The sequence below is a fragment of the Homo sapiens genome, chromosome 18 (assembly GCF_000001405.40).
Source record: "Homo sapiens chromosome 18, GRCh38.p14 Primary Assembly".
Classification (NCBI taxonomy): domain Eukaryota; kingdom Metazoa; phylum Chordata; class Mammalia; order Primates; family Hominidae; genus Homo; species Homo sapiens.
This window is the reverse complement of record NC_000018.10, coordinates 79,619,906-79,638,600: the sequence shown is the minus strand read 5'-3', so window position 1 is coordinate 79,638,600 and position 18,695 is coordinate 79,619,906. Positions and strand designations below refer to the sequence as shown.

The following is an 18,695-nucleotide window of genomic DNA, read 5'->3' as shown; positions in this document are numbered from 1 at the left end:
CTGACGGGGGTTCTCCTGGGGGAACCTCACTTCCAGGTCCTCACTGACGTCCGCCGGAGTCACCGCTACTGCCCTGGGCACGGCCAGCCCCGGGTTTCCACGTGGCCAAGGCCCCACCCGGCGCGGACCCCGGCGCTGGGACCACGCAGCTGCCCAGGCCCCGGGCGCTCCGAGCGGGCAGCGCCTCCTCCCACCTGGAACCCACCAGGCCAAGCTCCCCGTGAGCGGTTCGGAGCGCATCGTCCCCTCCCGGAGTGGAAAGGCCCCCGGGAGCGGCTCCTTCTGCCCGCGGATGGCGAGCGCGCCGGTGACATTTCACAGCAGATTCGAACCCGCGGAGCCTTCCCGGGCGGAGAGCAGGGCCCGAGGCTGCACCGCTCCGGGCTGAGGCAGGAGCGCCCCGCATCGGCTCGAGGGCCCCGCGCCGTCTCCCTGCGTTCGTGGGCGCTCCCCGGGGGCCTCGTTCTTCTGCGTGGGACAAATTCCTGCGGGAGCAGGAGTCCTTCCCGGAGGCGCCCCCAGGCCGCCCATGAGCGCTGAGCCGCCGGCCTCGGGTGGGGGAGGCTCCCTGGACGGGGCGGCAGGGCTGGGGTTGCTCTTCCCTCCCCGCCCACTCGTGTCCGCGCGTGGCGCCCCGGGCCCAGGCCGTGCCTCGGCAGAGTCCCCCTGAGACCTGGGCGGCGCCTCCCGAGTCCCCGACAGGCCCAGGCCCGGGTGGCCGTGGGACGCGCCATGGGCGCGCAGCTCCGCAGCCGAGAGCCGGAGGGTCCCGCCGGGTCCCCGAGGCCCCAAGTCCTCTCGCGGCGCAGGCGGACCCAGAGGCAGCCCCTGGCCGGGGTCTCGAGCGCGCAAAGTCGGAGCTGATGCGGGTGCTGGTGCCTCACTGGGGTGGGCCTGAGGCCGCCCCTTCAAATTACAGCCGTGGCCACAGAGCGCGGCCTCCCCTGGACTCACCGCGGGCCAGGGCGGGCGGCGGCTTCCAGCGCGGGAGGAGGGCGGAGCTGGGCCGGGAGATGCCCGCGCCCCGAAGGCGCAGCAAGGCCGGGCTCTGCACCTGCCTTAGGAAGGAAACGGACCCTAAAGACAGAGAGAGACGGGATTTTAAAATGCAGCATTTCAGAAGATGTAACCCTTTATTAAGACCATTTCACCCCTTGTAGATGTTGGCGTGTTCTAGGTAAATGTCTTTCCCCAAAGGGACTTCGTCCCTCGGAGGCCTGGCCGGGCACCCGGAGCGGCTCTGCAGGTGCGGAGGGTCCGTGTGGAGGCCGCGTCACTCGGAGCAGGCTGTGGGCTATTGGTTTGTTCATTTAGATTTCGGATTTTTTAGTGGTGGATTCCCATTTATTTTAAATTTCAGATGGCTTTTCTGATGTTTCCGAGGAGTTTATAACAGCTCTTTGGGCCTCCTCATGCTGTTTATTTTCTTGTAAATTTGTCTGAGTTCATTGTAGATTCTGGATATTAGCCCTTTGTCAGATGAGTAGGTTGCGAAAATTTTCTCCCATTCTGTAGGCTGCCTGTTCACTCTGATGGCAGTTTCTTTAGCTGTGCAGAAGCTCTTTAGTTTAATTAGATCCCATTTGTCGATTTTGGCTTTTGTTGCCATTGCTTTTGGTGTTTTAGACATGAAGTCCTTGCCCATGCCTATGTCCTGAATGGTAATGCCTAGGTTTTCTTCTAGGGCTTTTATGGTTTTAGGTCTAACGTTTAAGTCTTTAATCCATCTTGAATTAATTTTTGTATAAGGTGTAAGGAAGGGATCCAGTTTCAGCTTTCTACATATGGCTAGCCAGTTTTCCCAGCACCATTTATTAAATAGGGAATCCTTTCCCCATTGCTTGTTTTTCTCAGGTTTGTCAAAGATCAGATAGTTGTAGATATGCGGCATTATTTCTGAGGGCTCTATTCTGTTCCATTGATCTATATCTCTGTTTTGGTACCAGTACCATGCTGTTTTGGTTACTGTAGCCTTGTAGTATAGTTTGAAGTCAGGTAGCGTGATGCCTCCAGCTTTGTTCTTTTGGCTTAGGGTTGACTTGGTGATGTGGGCTCTTTTTTGGTTCCATATGAACTTTAAAATAGTTTTTTCCAATTCTGTGAAGAAAGTCATTGGTAGCTTGATGGGGGTGGCATTGCACACGTATGTTTATGGCGGCACTATTCACAATACCAAAGACTTGGAACCAACCTAAATGTCCAACAATGATAGACTGGATTAAGAAAATGTGGCACATATACACCATGGAATACTATGCAGCCATAAAAAATGATGAGTTCATGTCCTTTGTAGGGATGTGGATGAAACTGGAAATCATCATTCTCGGTAAACTATTGCAAGGACAAAAAACCAAACACCGCGTGTTCTCACTCATAGATGGGAATTGAACAATAAGAACACATGGACACAGGAAGGGGAACATCACACTCTGGGGACTGTTGTGGGGTGGGGGGGAGGGGGGAGGGATAGCATTAGGAGATATACCTAATGTAAATGACGAGTTAATGGGTGCAGCACACCAGCATGGCACATGTATACATATGTAACTAACCTGCACATTGTGCACATGTACCCTAAAACTTAAAGTATAATAATAAAAAAAAAAGGAGATAAGGTTAAAAAAATAAAAAAAATAATAATCAAAACGCTTCTTCTCTCAAGGAATGTACAGTTTAGGGAAGAGGCAAAAATAAGTAAATATTCCAATAAGTATTGGGGGAAGGGCACAGAGAGCCAAAAAAGACCACAGGAAAAGGGATGTCTAGGATGTGTGGGGGGGTCACGGAGGGACCCAGAAGACAGAGCGTTTCAGAGCAGGTGGGATGGCGTGGCTTGTTAGTGAATGCCAGCAGAGCATTGGTGGTGTTTGCTGTTTATTTTCAACATCTTTTAAAATACAAGGGTAAACTAGCATTGAATTTAATTTGCCTTAGTTTCTTACCAGTTCCAAGCTAAAATATTATTACAAAATCCACGACCCCATTGAAACATGCGCTTGTGCTTTAGAGTATGAAAACATTGTGACGTGTGATGTGGGGACCGACGGGGCCGTCAGTGATGGCGCAGTTGAGAGGCTGTGACGTGTGATGCGGGGACCGACGGGGCCATCAGTGATGGCGCAGTTGAGAGGCTGTTCCCGGGGAGTGATCAGGAGCCACTGTCTCGGCCGCTGTCTCTTCATTCTCATCCCATTCCCCGAGGCCCTAAGGAACGGCGGGATTTGGATTTGATTGAGTAGCTCCATCCCTGTCGCGGAGCACAGGGGACAGCACCGCGGAGCCTCCACTCTCTGTGGATGTTTCGCCAGGGTTTGCAAGGAGGAGTAAAACTTGTCCTGGCCGCTCAGGTGTCTCTCCCAGGTTAAGACAGGCGCTGGTCACTGTGCCTTGTCTGCTGAGGGCATAGCCAGGAGTGTGACCGTCCAGGGATGGGGTGTGCGCTGGTGCCATGCACGGCAGAGTGGCCATGCTGAGACACCGTCTGGGAAGGAAAGCTCACTTTCTGGGAAGGAAAGCTCGCTGACTCAATGAGGAAGCACCAGCTGTGAGGCCTGAGTGAGCAGCACAGACACTAGGCATGTTCCTAACACTTGGGGTGTTCCTAACACTTGGGGTGTTCCTAATGGGACTGGACAAGTGTGGATGCCGTGGCTGGGACCCTAGTGCAACAGAAAGGGGGCAGGGGCCCGGTGGGCCTTCCTCTGCATGGGCTTCATTCTCACTGGAGGACAGGAGGGGGCAGCTGGGTGGCCCAGGGAACAAAGCCCAGCTGACTGTATCCAGGAGCTGTCCAGGAACCACGGTCCCACCAGGGAGGGAGACAGACAGTGAGCCACACGTGAGTCATCGGGTCACGGGCTGTGGAAGAAACTGGCCAGGAGTCCGTGGCTGGGGGCAAGGCAGCAGGGAGAAGCTCACTGAGAAAGTGACTTTGGGGGAGGGGCACATGGTACATTTGGACCACCAAGGTGGGGAAGCTGGGCTGGAGTTGGGGGCACAGTGGGGGCGAGGATGCTGGCCCAGGGATGAGGGTGGGTGTGCCAGTGTTCTGCCCAGGCCTGCTGGGGAAAATGTCTTCTCAATCCTTCTCTGCCAGCCACTAAGGAGCTCTCCAGGAGACATGGCTCCAGGAGATACTCACCCTGCCTGCTGGGCCCCTCGCTGCATCCCCAGGGCCATGGGATGACCCGGGGCTAAGGGTCAATATGCTTGAAGGTCCATCCAGCAGAAAGGAAGCTCCTGGAACCTCGGACTGAACTGTAGGGCATTGCCTGGGGGGCAGGTTTTTCCCTTGGGGTCACTGGGAGTGCTGTGCAGGCTCCTTCCAAAGGGGACCCACTGGAGAGGGCTCTGTGCCCCTATCATCCTCCTCTAGCTGGGGATGCACACAGCCCAGCGAGATCGAGGGCAGCTGCCAGCAGGGCTGACCAACATAGGCCAGGGGATGTGAGGCCACAGTTCACCACCACTATCACCATCATCACCACCATTATCATCAGTATAACTATCACCACCACCATCACCATCACCACCACCACCACATCATCATCACTATCACCACAATCATCACCATTCTCATCACTATCACCACCACCACCATCACCACCATCATCACCATCACCACCACCATCACCACCATCACCACCACCATTATCACCACCACCATCACCACCATCATCACCATCACCACCATCATCACCGTCACCACCACCATCACCACCACCATCACCACCATCACCACCACCACCACTGCCATCATCACCACCATCACCACCACCATCATCACCACCACCATCATCACCGTCACCATCACCATCATCAGCACCATCATCAGCACCATCATCACCACCACCACCACCATCACCACCGTCATCACCACCACCACCATCACCACCACCACCATCAGCAGCACCATCACCACCACCGCCATCATCACCACCATCATCACCATCACAACCACCATCACCACTGCCATCACCACCATCACCACCACCATTATCACCACCACCATCACCACCATCATCACCGTCACCACCACTGTCAACACCATCACCACCATCGTCACCACCATCACCACCATCATCACCGTCACCACCACCATCACCACCACCACCAACAAAATAAATCAGAGAAGAGTTGTTTAAATTAACTTATATAATTTAAGACCTGTACCCAAATGTATTACAGATGAATTAAAAGTTAAAAATTTTGAATTGAATTATAAAACAACTAGAGGAAATTAAAATGAATGCTTTTTCTTTCCTGGGGATGGAGAAAAGCTTTCTAAACATGGAAAAAGAAAGAAAAAAACAAAGCAAAGGCAAGAAGTCAGAGAACAGCATAAACAAATTTCAAAACTGCAATAAAAACCTGCAAAAAATATTATAAAATATATTAAATCAAAGTTTACTAGTATTCATATATCAGTCAGGAAAGACTGACAATCTTATTAATAAAAATGGACAAAAATAGAACTTGAAACTTTATTTAGAAGAGCCCTAAATGCTCCACTTCAACAATAATCCCAGAGCTGCAGATGACAGCAGCAGTGAAGTCCCGTTCTTGCCTGGAGTGCTGGGTGAGGAGGGCGGCCACGGGCGAGGGATCCTCGTGGGTGCGTCTCGGCCAGGCCACGGGGCAGCGTGAATCCCAATGCTAACCACTGCATCCTGCTGCCATCCTAGGGCTCCTTCTAAGGGATGATCAGAGACAATGACAGAGGCTCACAAGTGAGGCTTTCACTGCAGTGTTACGATCATCACAAGTGCCATAGGCATCCAACAAGAGGGAAGAGCCCCCGGACGGTAGCCGAGCCACGTCACAGAAGCACCAGCCCTTGAAAGTCGTATTTTCAAAGAATGTGCAGTGCCATGGGGTGCACACTGTGACTTTAAGTGAAGGGGCTGACATACAACTGTACATATAGCAGGTGTGATTATTCGTGCAAAATCACTATAATACTAAGAGCTGACACTTTGTTAAGCATCCGTGTAAGCCCTGGGTAGGCTTGTCATGTAGGATTTCACAACCAGCCACGGGGTAGCCCTCACCTCTACGTGACACACGTGGAGAGGTTCACTCACTTGCTCAACTCTCTGCTATTTGGTGGCCAGATTCCGACCCAAGCAGCCTGACTTTAGTAGTTTTCAACACAACTTTATCCTGTCTCCCTGTGTACATACACACACTCACCCACACACACACACACAAAGTCATGCCCACACGTGGAAGGAAATCCACAAAAATGGTAACATGAGTTACCTCTGGTAGTGATGCTGTGAATGACTTCTAGTTTCTTTCTTTTATTTTGTCATACTTTCCACATTTGTATAAGAGCATGGCTTATTTTTCTGAGGGGAAAACCACATTTTAGCACAGACCTGAGGAAGAGCTTTTGGTTGGGTATGAAGACTCCTGAACCTCCCTGCGTGTCTGGGTGGCTTTCCAGCTTCGAGACTCATCTCAGGGAGCCCCTAGGTTTCCCCTTGACTTTTTCTTGGTCAGCACTTGGGTTTAAACATTCAGCTGGCCACCAACGGGCTTCCTGAGAGGGGAACAGAAGGCCCGATGGGAGATAAGAGGTCTTGGCTCACCTCGCCAGCCTCACAGTCTACATCCTGTGGGCCCAGCACTCACCTGTCCACAGACCGCCACGGTCTCTCAGCCACAGACCAGGCCCTGCAGCCAGCAAGCCACATCCGACACCTCCCAGGCCCTACAGGCCCTGGAGCAGGGCTCGGCCGCCCAGTGCATGTAGGGCACCAGGCCGTGTGGTTTGCAGTTGACCTTATTACCACTCTGAGACAGGCTGCCATTCTGGGTACTCAGTTATTTCTTAATTTTGTGTTCAGTTTTGAAGGGCATGGACATCATTCAAAACAAGTTTTTTCTTTTTTTTCCTAAAATGGCTTTAACTCAACGTTGTCTTGCATGAAAACTCACAAGCAGAGGCTTTACCTAAGGGAATCCTTAAAAGAAAGAATGCATGGACCGGCCTGGCCAGATTGGCTCCAACCATCGGAGCCAATGGTAGGAGGACACGCAGCCCCACCACCATCATTCATCCCACCGAGCACAGGTGCGGATGCACACGCACACACACATACACACACGCACACACACAGACACACGCACACACATACAGACACGCACACACATACAGACACACACACACACACACACGCAGCCCCACCACCATCGTTCATCCCACCGAGCACAGGTGCAGACCCACCCACACACATACAGACACACACGCACACACACAGCCCCACTGCCATCATTCATTGCACCGCAGGCACCGAGCACAGGTGCAGACGCACACACACACACACATACAGACACGCACAGATGCAGCCCCACCACCATCATTCATCCCACCGAGCACAGGTGCAGACGCACACGCACACACACATACAGACACACACGCACACACACAGACACACACGCACACGCGCAGCCCCACCTCCATCGTTCATCCCACCGAGCACAGGTGCAGACGCACACACACACATGCACGGACACACACACAGACACACACGCAGCCCCACCGCCATCATTCATTGCACCGCAGGCACTGAGCACAGGTGCAGACACACACACAAGCACACACATGCACAGGGCACACACACAGGCACAGACACGCACGCAGGTACACACACACGCACACAGCAACTACGTGACTGATGGTTCCCCGCGGATACAAACCTCTCTGAAAAATCACTGGCAAGAAATAATAACCCAGACCCGGCTGGAGTTCCCAGCTTGCCTGGAATAAGGTCTGTGACTCACAGCCAGAACTGTGAGGCTGTGGTGCCGTCGGGAGTCAGGATCTCAGGCCCTCGCTGTGGTTTTGATGGGTTTTAAACCACACTTCCCTCTGCTTCTGGGACACTTTTTATTTTCTGTGAGGCTAAGGCACTGGCCTCGCCTTGCACAAGGGGAAATTGAGGCCCAGAATCAGCAAGTGTTTTTGCGACTCACTGAAGGAGCCGCTGTAGAATGGAGTGGTCGATGGCCAGGATCCGCCCCAGCGCCAGTGCCGACCGAGTTTCAGTGTGAACGGCCTGCCCAGAACGCTGACGCCGCGAGTGTAATTAGGCTGTGAGCAGGCATTAGTTCCAGTTTGCACGTGCGTCTCATGTGGGGTGCAGATTCATGGACGGTCCCTCTGCTCACCAGGTGCCCGCGTCAGCCTGGACAGCATTCTGGTTTCATTTTCAGAACCTCTCAGCCTCCTTCCGGCTCCCTAACACGGCGCCAATAGCAGGAGGAGGCTCTCAGAGACGCAGCATCACCAACATGGTGCTCTTCCTGAAAAGACCTCAGGGGTGATGAAGACTTGAAATTCATAGACTGGGTTTCTACAACCCAACCAGCCTCTTCTCTTCCCTAGGAGACACATGCAAAAATAATAATGGGGGTACCAATTTCGGGCGAAGTTTCCCGAACAACGAACAATAGCCCTTGCTGGGACTCTCGCCTCGGGGGCTGCTGCCATCAGGAAACCCGTCTTTCTCTGTTGGAGGCTGGTCCTTTTCAGGGTCAGTTTGTACTTGGATGTGTTTATTTTTATTTTTATTAAGGCTTGTTCTGCAAACAGCAGTCCTTAACCCTGTACTGCACTTTTCATCTTTCCAGACCATTCATTCCCAAATTTCTAAACTGATCTTCTCAGCATTCACCTCCAGTCTCTGTGTAACTAGCTGCTATTGCTACCTCTGGGCAGGTTAATCTGGGGCATTGTCTGTCACCTCCCACAATAGATCAGCTCCCTTCCCACGCCTCCCGTCCCCGCCACCTTTCCACTGACAATGTGGAGAGCAAATATTGATCAGCCAGGACTGCGATGAACACACACAGCAGCACCACTGAGCCCGTCACAAACGATGATGGCTTTTCTTGCAGTTTTCTGTTTTCCTGAAATTAATAATTAGCTTTTTCCATCAACTTTATTTTCTGTGTATATACCAATGGAACCCCAAGTGTCTCAGTCTCCTCTTCAGTTGTCTTATCTTGGGCGCTTGTTAATTTTGGCTTCCTGGTGATGTCTCTCCCACTACTAACTCACTTTGTTCTGGAGAGGTGTCCGGATCCTGTCCCACAAGAGTGATGCTGACAGGCCCCTTGCTCTGGGGGTCCCTCTGTTGTGGCCCCTGCCTGGGGCTTCCCTGCACTCGATGGTCAGTCTGGTGGGGGCGACATGTCCGGGAGGCTGGGATCATGCCCTCGTCTGGGCTCCCCGAGGTGCCCTTGAAATGCCGGACACTGTTCTCTGGGCCCCTCTTGGTCTCTGGAAGGTGCAGGACCCTCCCCTTCTACGGAGTTGCTGCCCGGGTGTGGTCCCCCGTGCCATGTGGCCACCAGTTCTTCCTGAGCGAGGACCTGTGTCCTTCATCCCTCAAGGCTGTCCTTGTGCTGCTGGTTGTGGTTTCTCCCTTTCTGTCGTATCTGCTCCCCACTCCGGAATGCGATCCCTGCAAGGTGGCCTCGACTGGTCCTCCAGCCTCTCCTTCCATCCCAGCTTTGATCTTTGTCTTCAGGCTCCAATTCCCGGCACCTTCACACCTCGGCCCTTTTGCCAATTTCCTTCTTTTCTGTGATGGTTCCGTTGTGGGGATCGTGGGTCTGTCTGTGCTCCCTGTGGAGAGTGTGGGTTCTGTCCACAGCTCATGACGGTGATGCCCCTCCAGGGTGACCGTCTGCGACGCTACGCTCTTCTCCCCGTATGGCTTCCGTTCACTTCCACATGATTTTGCTTTGTGTTTATTTCACGCTGGAGAGTTTGCCCGGGTGTTTCGACAGATCTGTGTGTCTGCTTGTATTCTGGGGCTTCCTTTTCAGCAGGTCGGATTCCCTGGAGGAGAGGCTGTCCTGCTTGGGAGCACGCGGGGAAGGAGGCTGGCCTGGCGTTGGGGCAGAGGGACTCCCTCCAGAGCTCATGGCTGCCCAGGCCCAGGGGTCGCTTCAGTCTCTGTAGAGACGAGACAGGAAGGGGAGGTGGCCCCAGGAGGCAGGGGCAGGGAAGGGTCCTTAGCCTGCGCAGGCCCCTCTCCACCTCCAGCCCTCCCCCCGGCATCATCCTCGGCCCGCAGTCCTGGGGGCTTTGGGGTTCGGGATCTAAATCAGGGTGCCCTGTCCCCACTGCTGTGTCAGAGTCGTTTCTGGGGTCCACAGAGATGCTGGCCCCAGGTGCCTCCACTTTGCAGGCGTCTCCACCTCGTTCCCCTTGTGTGAGCTGCTTTTAGTTTTACAAAATCTCTTTACTGTACTTGAAGCTCAGGAGAGAACAGAAGTAACCGTGTTTTCTCCGCGTCGTAACCAACAGAGCTGGTTCTAAGAGCGTCTTTACAACACCTGACCCAGACGACGGATGAAAACAACAGGGTCTGCCCTCATCCTCACCGGGTTCTGGAACGTTCCCTTGGCCCAAATGCCTCCTCCCTTGCCTCCCCAGGTTCCCTGGGCCTGAAGTGTCCCCGGGGCTGTCACCTCTTCTGTGACGCCTTCCCTGCTGCTTCAGACACACTTACTCGTGCCTTTCACCCCCACAACACCCAGGAGTCCTGTCAGCAAGGACCCCTGGCGGGCGCTGGGCAGCTCTGCCCATGTGGGTTCATCTACACAAGCCCTCCAGTGGCACTAAAGTCAGTGGAGCCCAGTTGCTCTCCAGGCTGTTGGAGACAGGGTGGTGGATTTGTGTGTTTAACTTGAGTTGAGGGTGCTTCTAGCGTGGAAAACACCTTGATGACCTTCTCACTGCGATTTTCCACCCAGCCGTGCTGCCCTTGGAATCACAGAGCCCCATATCAGGCCCCATGAAAGCGCCCCGCCTGAGTCTCGGGCAGGACTCATTGCAGGGAGCGCCACGGTCTGAGACACGGTGAGCGTGCAGGGAAGACACAGCGCGGCCCCACTACAGTCAGGACGCCCTCGGCCTCCAACCACGTTCTCCAGGAGCAGGCAGATATGCGCCCAATGCCTGTGCCTCACCTGTGAGAATTCCAGATCCTGATCGACCTTCCTCCACCCCAGCAGAGTGGTGGACGCAGCCCGTACCAGCTCGCAGCCCTGTCCATGTCACCTCGCAGCCCACTCTTGAGGCTGGGGGCTTGCCCATGGGAGCCATCCCTGTAGACGTTGGTTCCCCAGCCCTTTCGACACCGGGTGGCCGTGTAGAAACCTGGGGGAGCTGTGCCTCCCCTCGTGGACCTGGCTCGGGGCTCGCCTGTGCTTCTTCTCCCCACTCTGCCCCCTCCTCGCCTGCAGCCCTGTTCCTGGGGAGTGACTGGTCGGGCCCCTCTGCTCCTGAAGCGTGAGCCCTTCCTCCTCGGCGGGCCAGGCCAGTGTTACCTGACTTGAACCCCAGCTTGCTCGCTAGCCCCGGGCTGACTCACTTCAAGCTGAAGAGAGCAGGCTCTGGCCCTGATTTGGGAGTCGGGCAGGAAGACTGACACCTGCTTATTTGGATGTGACAAACGGGCGTCTCTGTGCTTGCTGCTCTCAAATCAAGCGTGCCTGAGTTCCTGCAGCGCCTCTGCAGGGCCAGCTGGGCGCAGTGGCCCGGTGATGTGTCCGGCGGCCTCCCTCGTGAGGGTGGGACGTCCACTCCGCCGTCTGTCCATCAGAGTCCTTAAACACAGGCTGCTCTCGGTGCAGATTCTGGAGGTGGGTGGAGAGCTCTGGAGGAAGCGAGATCGGTTAGACTGAACGCTCGGACAGCGGCTCTGCCCCACGGCAGTGGCGTGGGCTGGGGGCAGCAGCTGCAGCGTGGGCGTTCTCTGATTCCTATTGATCTGTTTCAGATTCTGTGCTGATCTTCTGTAATTAACAAGTTAGTGTAAAAAACATTACTTCTACAGAACGTTGCAAAATCTCTCCCCAAATCCCTGTACCTGGGGGCTTTATCCACCTGGAAATGACTCTGGTAAGTTGGGGTTGCCAGACTCTAAAGCAGCCGATTTGTTAATTGATTAAAATCTGGCCTAGTTCCAGAACAGATTGCAAATAGATCACATAGAATAAAATGCATAAAATAAAATAAAACCAGAAAGTGGGATGGAGGTTTGAAGCAAGGGGAAATGTCATCCACGGGTTTGCAGCGTGTGTGGCTGGGCTGAGAGCCGGGGCCTGAGTGGCAGGGAGGAGGGTGGCCGGCGTTGCCCTGCTTAGAGAAGGGCTGTGCTTTGCTGCAGCAGAAATTGCTTGTGTGGGACGCACGCAGAGTGGCTTATGTTCCAAAACGCCCCGGCAGCCGTCCCACCAGCCCTTCCTGCAGGAGCCGAGTTCCCCTCTGGGCAGCACCCTGTACGTGTCTCTGTTCTCGCTGAAGCTTTTCCTCAGTGGCATGCGGGCCGCTGTGTTGTCAGGGGCAGGCCCCTGTCACTCAGACATGAAGTGGACAGGCCCCTTTCTAGACACGGAGGCAGCTGGACAGGACATGGAGTGGATCTTCTTTGCATTTTGCAGTGAGGGCGTTGCAAGAGCAGCCTGCAGATGCAGCCGGCGATGAGCCCCTCCAGAGGCAAGTGTGGCTCGGCCTCAGCACCGAATGGAACCTTGAGGCTCTTCCCGTGGAGCCCGGCAGGCGGATCAGGAGCCCCGTGCCCGATCAGCTCTTTGGACATCTAGAAAAAGTCTGTCTACAGAAAACCCCATCACTACAAACTTTAATCTGCTTGGAATTTGCATCTTACAGGCTTCCAAATTAACTTTCCAAAATGGTCTCTATTCCAGGGATCAAATCAGCCATTCTCTTGCCTGTGGTTTGAAATGTGGCCTGGGCCACGTGCCCCTAATCTCCAGGTGTCTCTGGGCTGCCTCCACTGTGGCTCTTTCCGTCCATCTGCTCTCAAGCTGCTCCCACACTCCTTCCAGGACTGTGCCTTTCTACGTCTTTGACTGTGTCCGTAGCACAAACTCTCCTTTCTTTCATCTTGTTTTACTTTTCTGATTACTTATCCAAGAAATAAAAATTGATGTTTTCAAGTTCCAATGCAAAGGAATAAACACACTCAAGTTTTAATCATCGTCTCCCAGCTGTGGACAGAAATGTGACCTGGGAATTAATCACTCACGGAGCCGGCCTGACCCGTCAGCGGCAGGAGGGCTGCTCCCCAGTCTCCCCGGCCGCATGGCCCTGCACCTGCAAAGCTTTCCACAAGAATACGGAAGGAGGAACTTCCGGTTTTTCTTTGAAAGAGGAAGCTTGGATCAATCATGGGTATTTTCAGTGAGTTTATTATTTCTGCTTTCCCCAGAAATAGCTCTGTGCTGCTGAGACATGCAAGCACTGCTGGCGGAACACTCAACACGGAAAGTCCCCGAAGCTCTGAGTCCCACGTTTGCAGTTAACAGCTCCTTAAAAAGCTAATGAGTGAAAATCTTCAAGATTAGCCATGGTTGGCCTCTTGAATTGGAGCTGCAACCCTCGTTTGCTCTCACAAGCATATTGTTGTTGTCATTATTAAATAGTCTCTTACTGCAGAGAGGTAGGCTTTAAAAAGGAACCAGTCTCATAAAATTGACTTTTCTGTGGTGGATATAAAGTCCTAAATTAGTAGTCTTTATGCACAGAAAAATAAGTGCCGCAACAGTGGTGTCAGTGAAATTCCTCCTCGCAGGAACCTGCGAATAGCCAATCTTTACAAGCCATACAGCAGGACTTCCCTTAGAAGACACCATTCAGTGCTTCCTTTAGCCTAGGCAGGATTTTCAAGGTGTTAGGAAATTACACTATAACTTTCAACTTTCACTGAGCTGTATCAGTCAGATTGCTGACAATTCAAACTCACTTAAATAATAATGTAACAAAGGGGGTCTATTGGCTTCTGTAGCTGACATCCAGAAGAGAAGGCTTCAGCGATGGTTTGACCCAGCAGCTCAGTGATGTCACCAACCACGTGGTCTTGTTTTAATCTCCCTGTTCTGCATTATCTTGAGACTGGTTCTTCCTGACACCACAAAGTGGTTTCTGACAGTGCCTTGGGACCATGAAAGTGAGGGTCTCCTTGTCCAGGTGCCAGAAGCCAGAGCCTGGAGGCGAGTCAGACTGGGCTAGTGTTAGGCCACATCTCCAGCCCCAAGTGACCATTGAAGGTGGGGAAGACCATGTGCAGTGTGACACCCTGGAGCTGTGGCAGCGGCCAGCTTCACCAGGGCACAAAGCTTGGAGCGGGGTTAAATCTAAGCACTGTTCATATATTCAGGGAAAATCAATGTCTCCACCAGGACTAGAAAGATGTGAAAATACCTTTGAGCGGAGCTTATAAATAATGTATTACTTATCAATACCTTCCGTCTAAACGGCAGGGCCAATGACTTGTGGAAAATCATGTTGCAAATTCCATGGACTAAATCCATAAAGCCAGGCATGTAGCTCATCCTCCCCAAAAATCCCAGAAAATCTGGCCCTGAAATGTGGCCCAATGACTGTCATCAGCCCCAGGGTGTCCTGCAGTTCCTGCTTCCTACTGTATACACCTCGGCCCTGTGTCTGCAGGAGCCTATTACCTACTGCATACATCTTGGCCCCGTGTCTGCAGGAGCCCCTCTATTACCTACTGTATACACCTTGGCCCAGTGTCTGCAGGAGCCTATTACCTACTGTATACACCTCAGCCCCATGTCTGCAGGGGCCCCTCTATTACCTACTGTACACACCTCAGCCCCGTGTCTGCAGGAGCCTATTACCTACTGTATACACCTCGGCCCCACGTCTGCAGGAGCCCCTCTATTACCTACTGTACACACCTCAGCCCCGTGTCTGCAGGAGCCTCTCTATTACCTACTGTACACAGCTCAGCCCGTGTCTGCAGGAGCCTCTCTATTACCTACTGTATACACCTCAGCCCCGTGTCTGCAGGAGCCCCTCTATTACCTACTGTATACACCTCAGCCCCGTGTCTGCAGGAGCCTCTCTATTACCTACTGTATACACCTCAGCCCCGTGTCTGCTGGAGCCCCTCTATTACCTACTGTATACACCTCAGTCCCGTGTCTGCAGGAGCCCCTCTATTACCTACTGTATACACCTCAGCCCCGTGTCTGCAGGAGCCCCTCTATTACCTACTGTATACACCTCAGCCCCGTGTCTGCAGGAGCCTATTACCTACTGTATACACCTCAGCCCGGTGTCTGCAGGAGCCCCTCTATTACCTACTATATACACCTCAGCCCCACATCTGCAGGAGCCCCTCTATTACCTACTGTATACACCTCGGCCCCGTGTGTGCAGGAGCCCCTCTATTACCTACTATATACACCTTGGCCCAATATCTGCAGGAGCCTCTCTATTACCTACTGTATACACCTCAGCCCCACGTCTGCAGGAGCCCCTCTGTTACCTACTGTATATACCTCGGCCCCATGTCTGCAGGAGGAGCCTCTACCTCTCTGCATCTCTGCTTCACCTTTTTATTTTTTTTAATTCCTCTCCCTCCTTACGTCCGACCTCAGGCTGTCCAGAGCTATTTGCTATTGTCAAAGTGTTGGTGTCTGTGTCTTACCTTTTCTAGTTTTCCAGATTTAAAGTTGGAGGAAGGGACCCCTGAAGAAAATGACTTTTAATAACTTACATTGAAAGGGTGGGGTCTTCACACCAAACCGATGCTGGGTTCATTGCAGTAGAAGAAAATGACCTTTAATAAATTACATTGAAAGGGTGGGGTCTTCACACCAAACCAACGCTGGGTTCATTGCAGTAGAAGAAAATGACCTTTAATGAATTATATTGAAAGGGTGGGGTCTTCACACCAAACCAATGCTGGGTTCATTGCAGTAGAAGAAAATGACCTTTAATAAATTACATTGAATGGGTGGGGTCTTCACACCAAACCAACGCTGGGTTCATTGCAGCAGAAGAAAATGACCTTTAATAATCTACATTGAAAGGATGGGGTCTTCATGCCAAACCAACGCTGGGTTCATTGCAGTAGACGAGCCTGGGCTTGCCTGTTTCTGCGGAGTCTTGGACGGTGTCTGGCCATGTGTGAGTGGAAACCCACAGTCTATTCAGGCTCTCGGTTGTAGCTACGACACTGGGACAAGTGCAGGAGAACTGAGAGTCTATTCTCTGCTTCTCTGCCTTGTTAGGTGACTGGAGTGCTGTGAGGTCATAGGTTGCAGAGTTTCTTCACTTGTAAATACTAAACATAAATTGTGAAGTTTAAAGTTTTTTTAATGCAAATTTTGGTTGCCAACTTTTGCTTAATAGAAAGTCTGTCTAAATTTATATGTAGAGGTATCTTTCAAAAAGAGATTTAAAATTTCTTCAATTTCTTTGTTCTGTTCACTTAGATGTGGGGATATGAAACTTTCTTAAATTGGGCCTCTCTAAGCAATGAAAACTAAGCAATTGCTCTGAAAGCAATGAAAATTTAACTAACAATGAGTATCAGCATGAGGGCATTTGCCTGCCGGCTGCGGGAGCCAGGCAGAGGATCCATGAGCCCACTAGTGAGGCATCCTGTGGCTTCTCATTCCTGCCTATTATTTTCGTGAAAATTACAGGTGGATTTGGGACTTTTCATCTGATTACATGCTACTGATAGATACAGTTGCACCTGCAAAGTCTCCTGAAATCATCTCCAGGGCAGGCGCAGGTCTCGTCAATTGCTAGGTATGCAGGATCTTGCTGGCAGCTGGAGCAGGGGTGCCCAGTTACATTCCCACTCACTGTATTGCTCCAGATAGGATTTTCCACATGACATGGATCCACATGGATCCCGTGCCGCCGTGACGTCTCCGTTGGAGGCTAATGGGGGCACTGAGCTGAACACTGGTTTACCCTCTGTCCTTCCCACTCGGTGACACGGAGCCCTTTATCACCATGATCCTAAACCAGGCCACACTTGTGAGGAACACGCTTGACCCCTGTGTGTGGCAGCAGGATGATGGGGTGGACACGGGCCTCAGATGACCCCGGGATCAGAGGTCAGCCGGGGAGGCCAGCCCTGTGCTTCCAGCTGTGCTGTGCCTGCAGAACTGATGTCCCCGGTGTCCTGGTCTCCCCGGTGCCGCCATCCTAAGTCCCCACTGGAATTTGCCCTCAGAGGAGGGGATGGGCCTGGTGAGCAGGACTGGCTGATGTTGACAAGAGTCAGCAATAAATTATTTATTTCAACCCATTCAGGAAATCACTCTTCTCCAGTCAGCCCTTAATGACCTCCCTTCCACTGTCAAAGGCTGATGGGAATCAATGAGCCTAACTTTCTTTTTTTTTTTTTCTTTTCGTTATTATTTTTTTGTTTTTGAGACGGAGTCTTGCTCTTTCACCCAGGCTACAGTGCAATGGCGCGGTCTCGGCTCACTGCAACCTCCGCCTCCCGGGTTCAAGCAATTCTCCTGCCTCAGCCTCCCGAGTAGCTGGGACTACAGGTGCCCGCCACCACGCCCAGCTAATTTTTTGTATTTTTAGTAAAGACGGGGTTTCACCGTGTTGGCCAGGTTGTAGCAGCCTAACTTTCAAATCAACCTTGGCTTTAGTACTCAGCAAAGGTACCCACGTCTCTCAGATTGTTCACTCGTTCAGGGTACGTGTATTTAGAGAAAATCACAACTCACTGCGGAGCCAGCTGCAGGCTGAGGACACTTGGGGCGCGGATTTAGCAAGAGACGACCTTGCAGTGATGGTTGCAGGAGCGTGGACCTGGCGTCCCGGCGATGGGAAAGACCAAAAGGTTTTAACGGGATTGCTGTGCTCAGATTTGTAGGTTTCCTTTCTAACAGTTATTTCAAGTGTTTACCAAAATAACATACGAGCTTAAATAGGACTGTGACACTTGTAAGAAAAGCTGCAGTCCCCCTGCCCACCTCCACACACGCTCCAGCTGTCTCCATCTGTGTTTCTAAACAGTGTGCTCACACTGACCGATTTCACACAGTGTCTGCTGTCATCCTGTTAGCGTGTAAACAGTGTGCTCACACTGACTGATTTCACACAGTGTCTGCTGTCGTCCTGTTAGCGTGTAAACAGTGTGCTCACACTGACTGATTTCACACAGTGTCTGCTGTCGTCCTGTTAGCGTGTAAACAGTGTGCTCACACGGACTGATTTCACACAGTGTCTGCTGTGGTCCTGTTAGCACGTAAACAGTGTGCTCACACTGACTGATTTCACACAGTGTCTGCTGTGATCCTGTTAGCATGTAAACAGTGTGCTCGCACTGACTGATTTCACACAGTGTCTGTCATCCTGTTAGCGTGTAAACAGTGTGCTCACACTGACTGATTTCACACAGTGTCTGCTGTGGTCCTGTTAGCGTGTAAACAGTGTGCTCACACTGACTGATTTCACACAGTGTCTGCTGTTGTCCTGTTAGCATGTAAACAGTGTGCTCACACTGACTGATTTCACACAATGTCTGCTGTGGTCCTGTTAGCATGTAAACAGTGTGCTCACACTGACTGATTTCACACAGTGTCTGCTGTCGTCCTGTTAGCGTGTAAACAGTGTGCTCACACTGACTGATTTCACACAGTGTCTGCTGTGATCCTGTTAGCATGTAAACAGTGTGCTCGCACTGACTGATTTCACACAGTGTCTGCTGTCCTCCTGTTAGCATGTAAACAGTGTGCTCACACTGACTGATTTCACACAGTGTCTGCTGTGATCCTGTTAGCGTGTAAACAGTGTGCTCACACTGACTGATTTCACACAGTGTCTGCTGTCATCCTGTTAGCATGTAAACAGTGGGCTC

The 18,695-nt window shown here is 52.3% G+C and overlaps 3 annotated features.

Moving 5' to 3' along the window:
• Positions 7,371-7,872: an enhancer, noted in NCBI's record as "H3K4me1 hESC enhancer chr18:77390729-77391230 (GRCh37/hg19 assembly coordinates)". NCBI's record gives its function as "activates a minimal SCP1, AML or CMV promoter by ChIP-STARR-seq in primed H9 embryonic stem cells {active_cell/tissue: H9 hESC(primed)}" and the evidence as "EXISTENCE:reporter gene assay evidence [ECO:0000049][PMID:30033119]".
• Positions 11,211-11,712: an enhancer, noted in NCBI's record as "H3K4me1 hESC enhancer chr18:77386889-77387390 (GRCh37/hg19 assembly coordinates)". NCBI's record gives its function as "activates a minimal SCP1, AML or CMV promoter by ChIP-STARR-seq in naive H9 embryonic stem cells {active_cell/tissue: H9 hESC(naive)}" and the evidence as "EXISTENCE:reporter gene assay evidence [ECO:0000049][PMID:30033119]".
• Positions 11,861-12,360: an enhancer, noted in NCBI's record as "H3K4me1 hESC enhancer chr18:77386241-77386740 (GRCh37/hg19 assembly coordinates)". NCBI's record gives its function as "activates a minimal SCP1, AML or CMV promoter by ChIP-STARR-seq in primed H9 embryonic stem cells {active_cell/tissue: H9 hESC(primed)}" and the evidence as "EXISTENCE:reporter gene assay evidence [ECO:0000049][PMID:30033119]".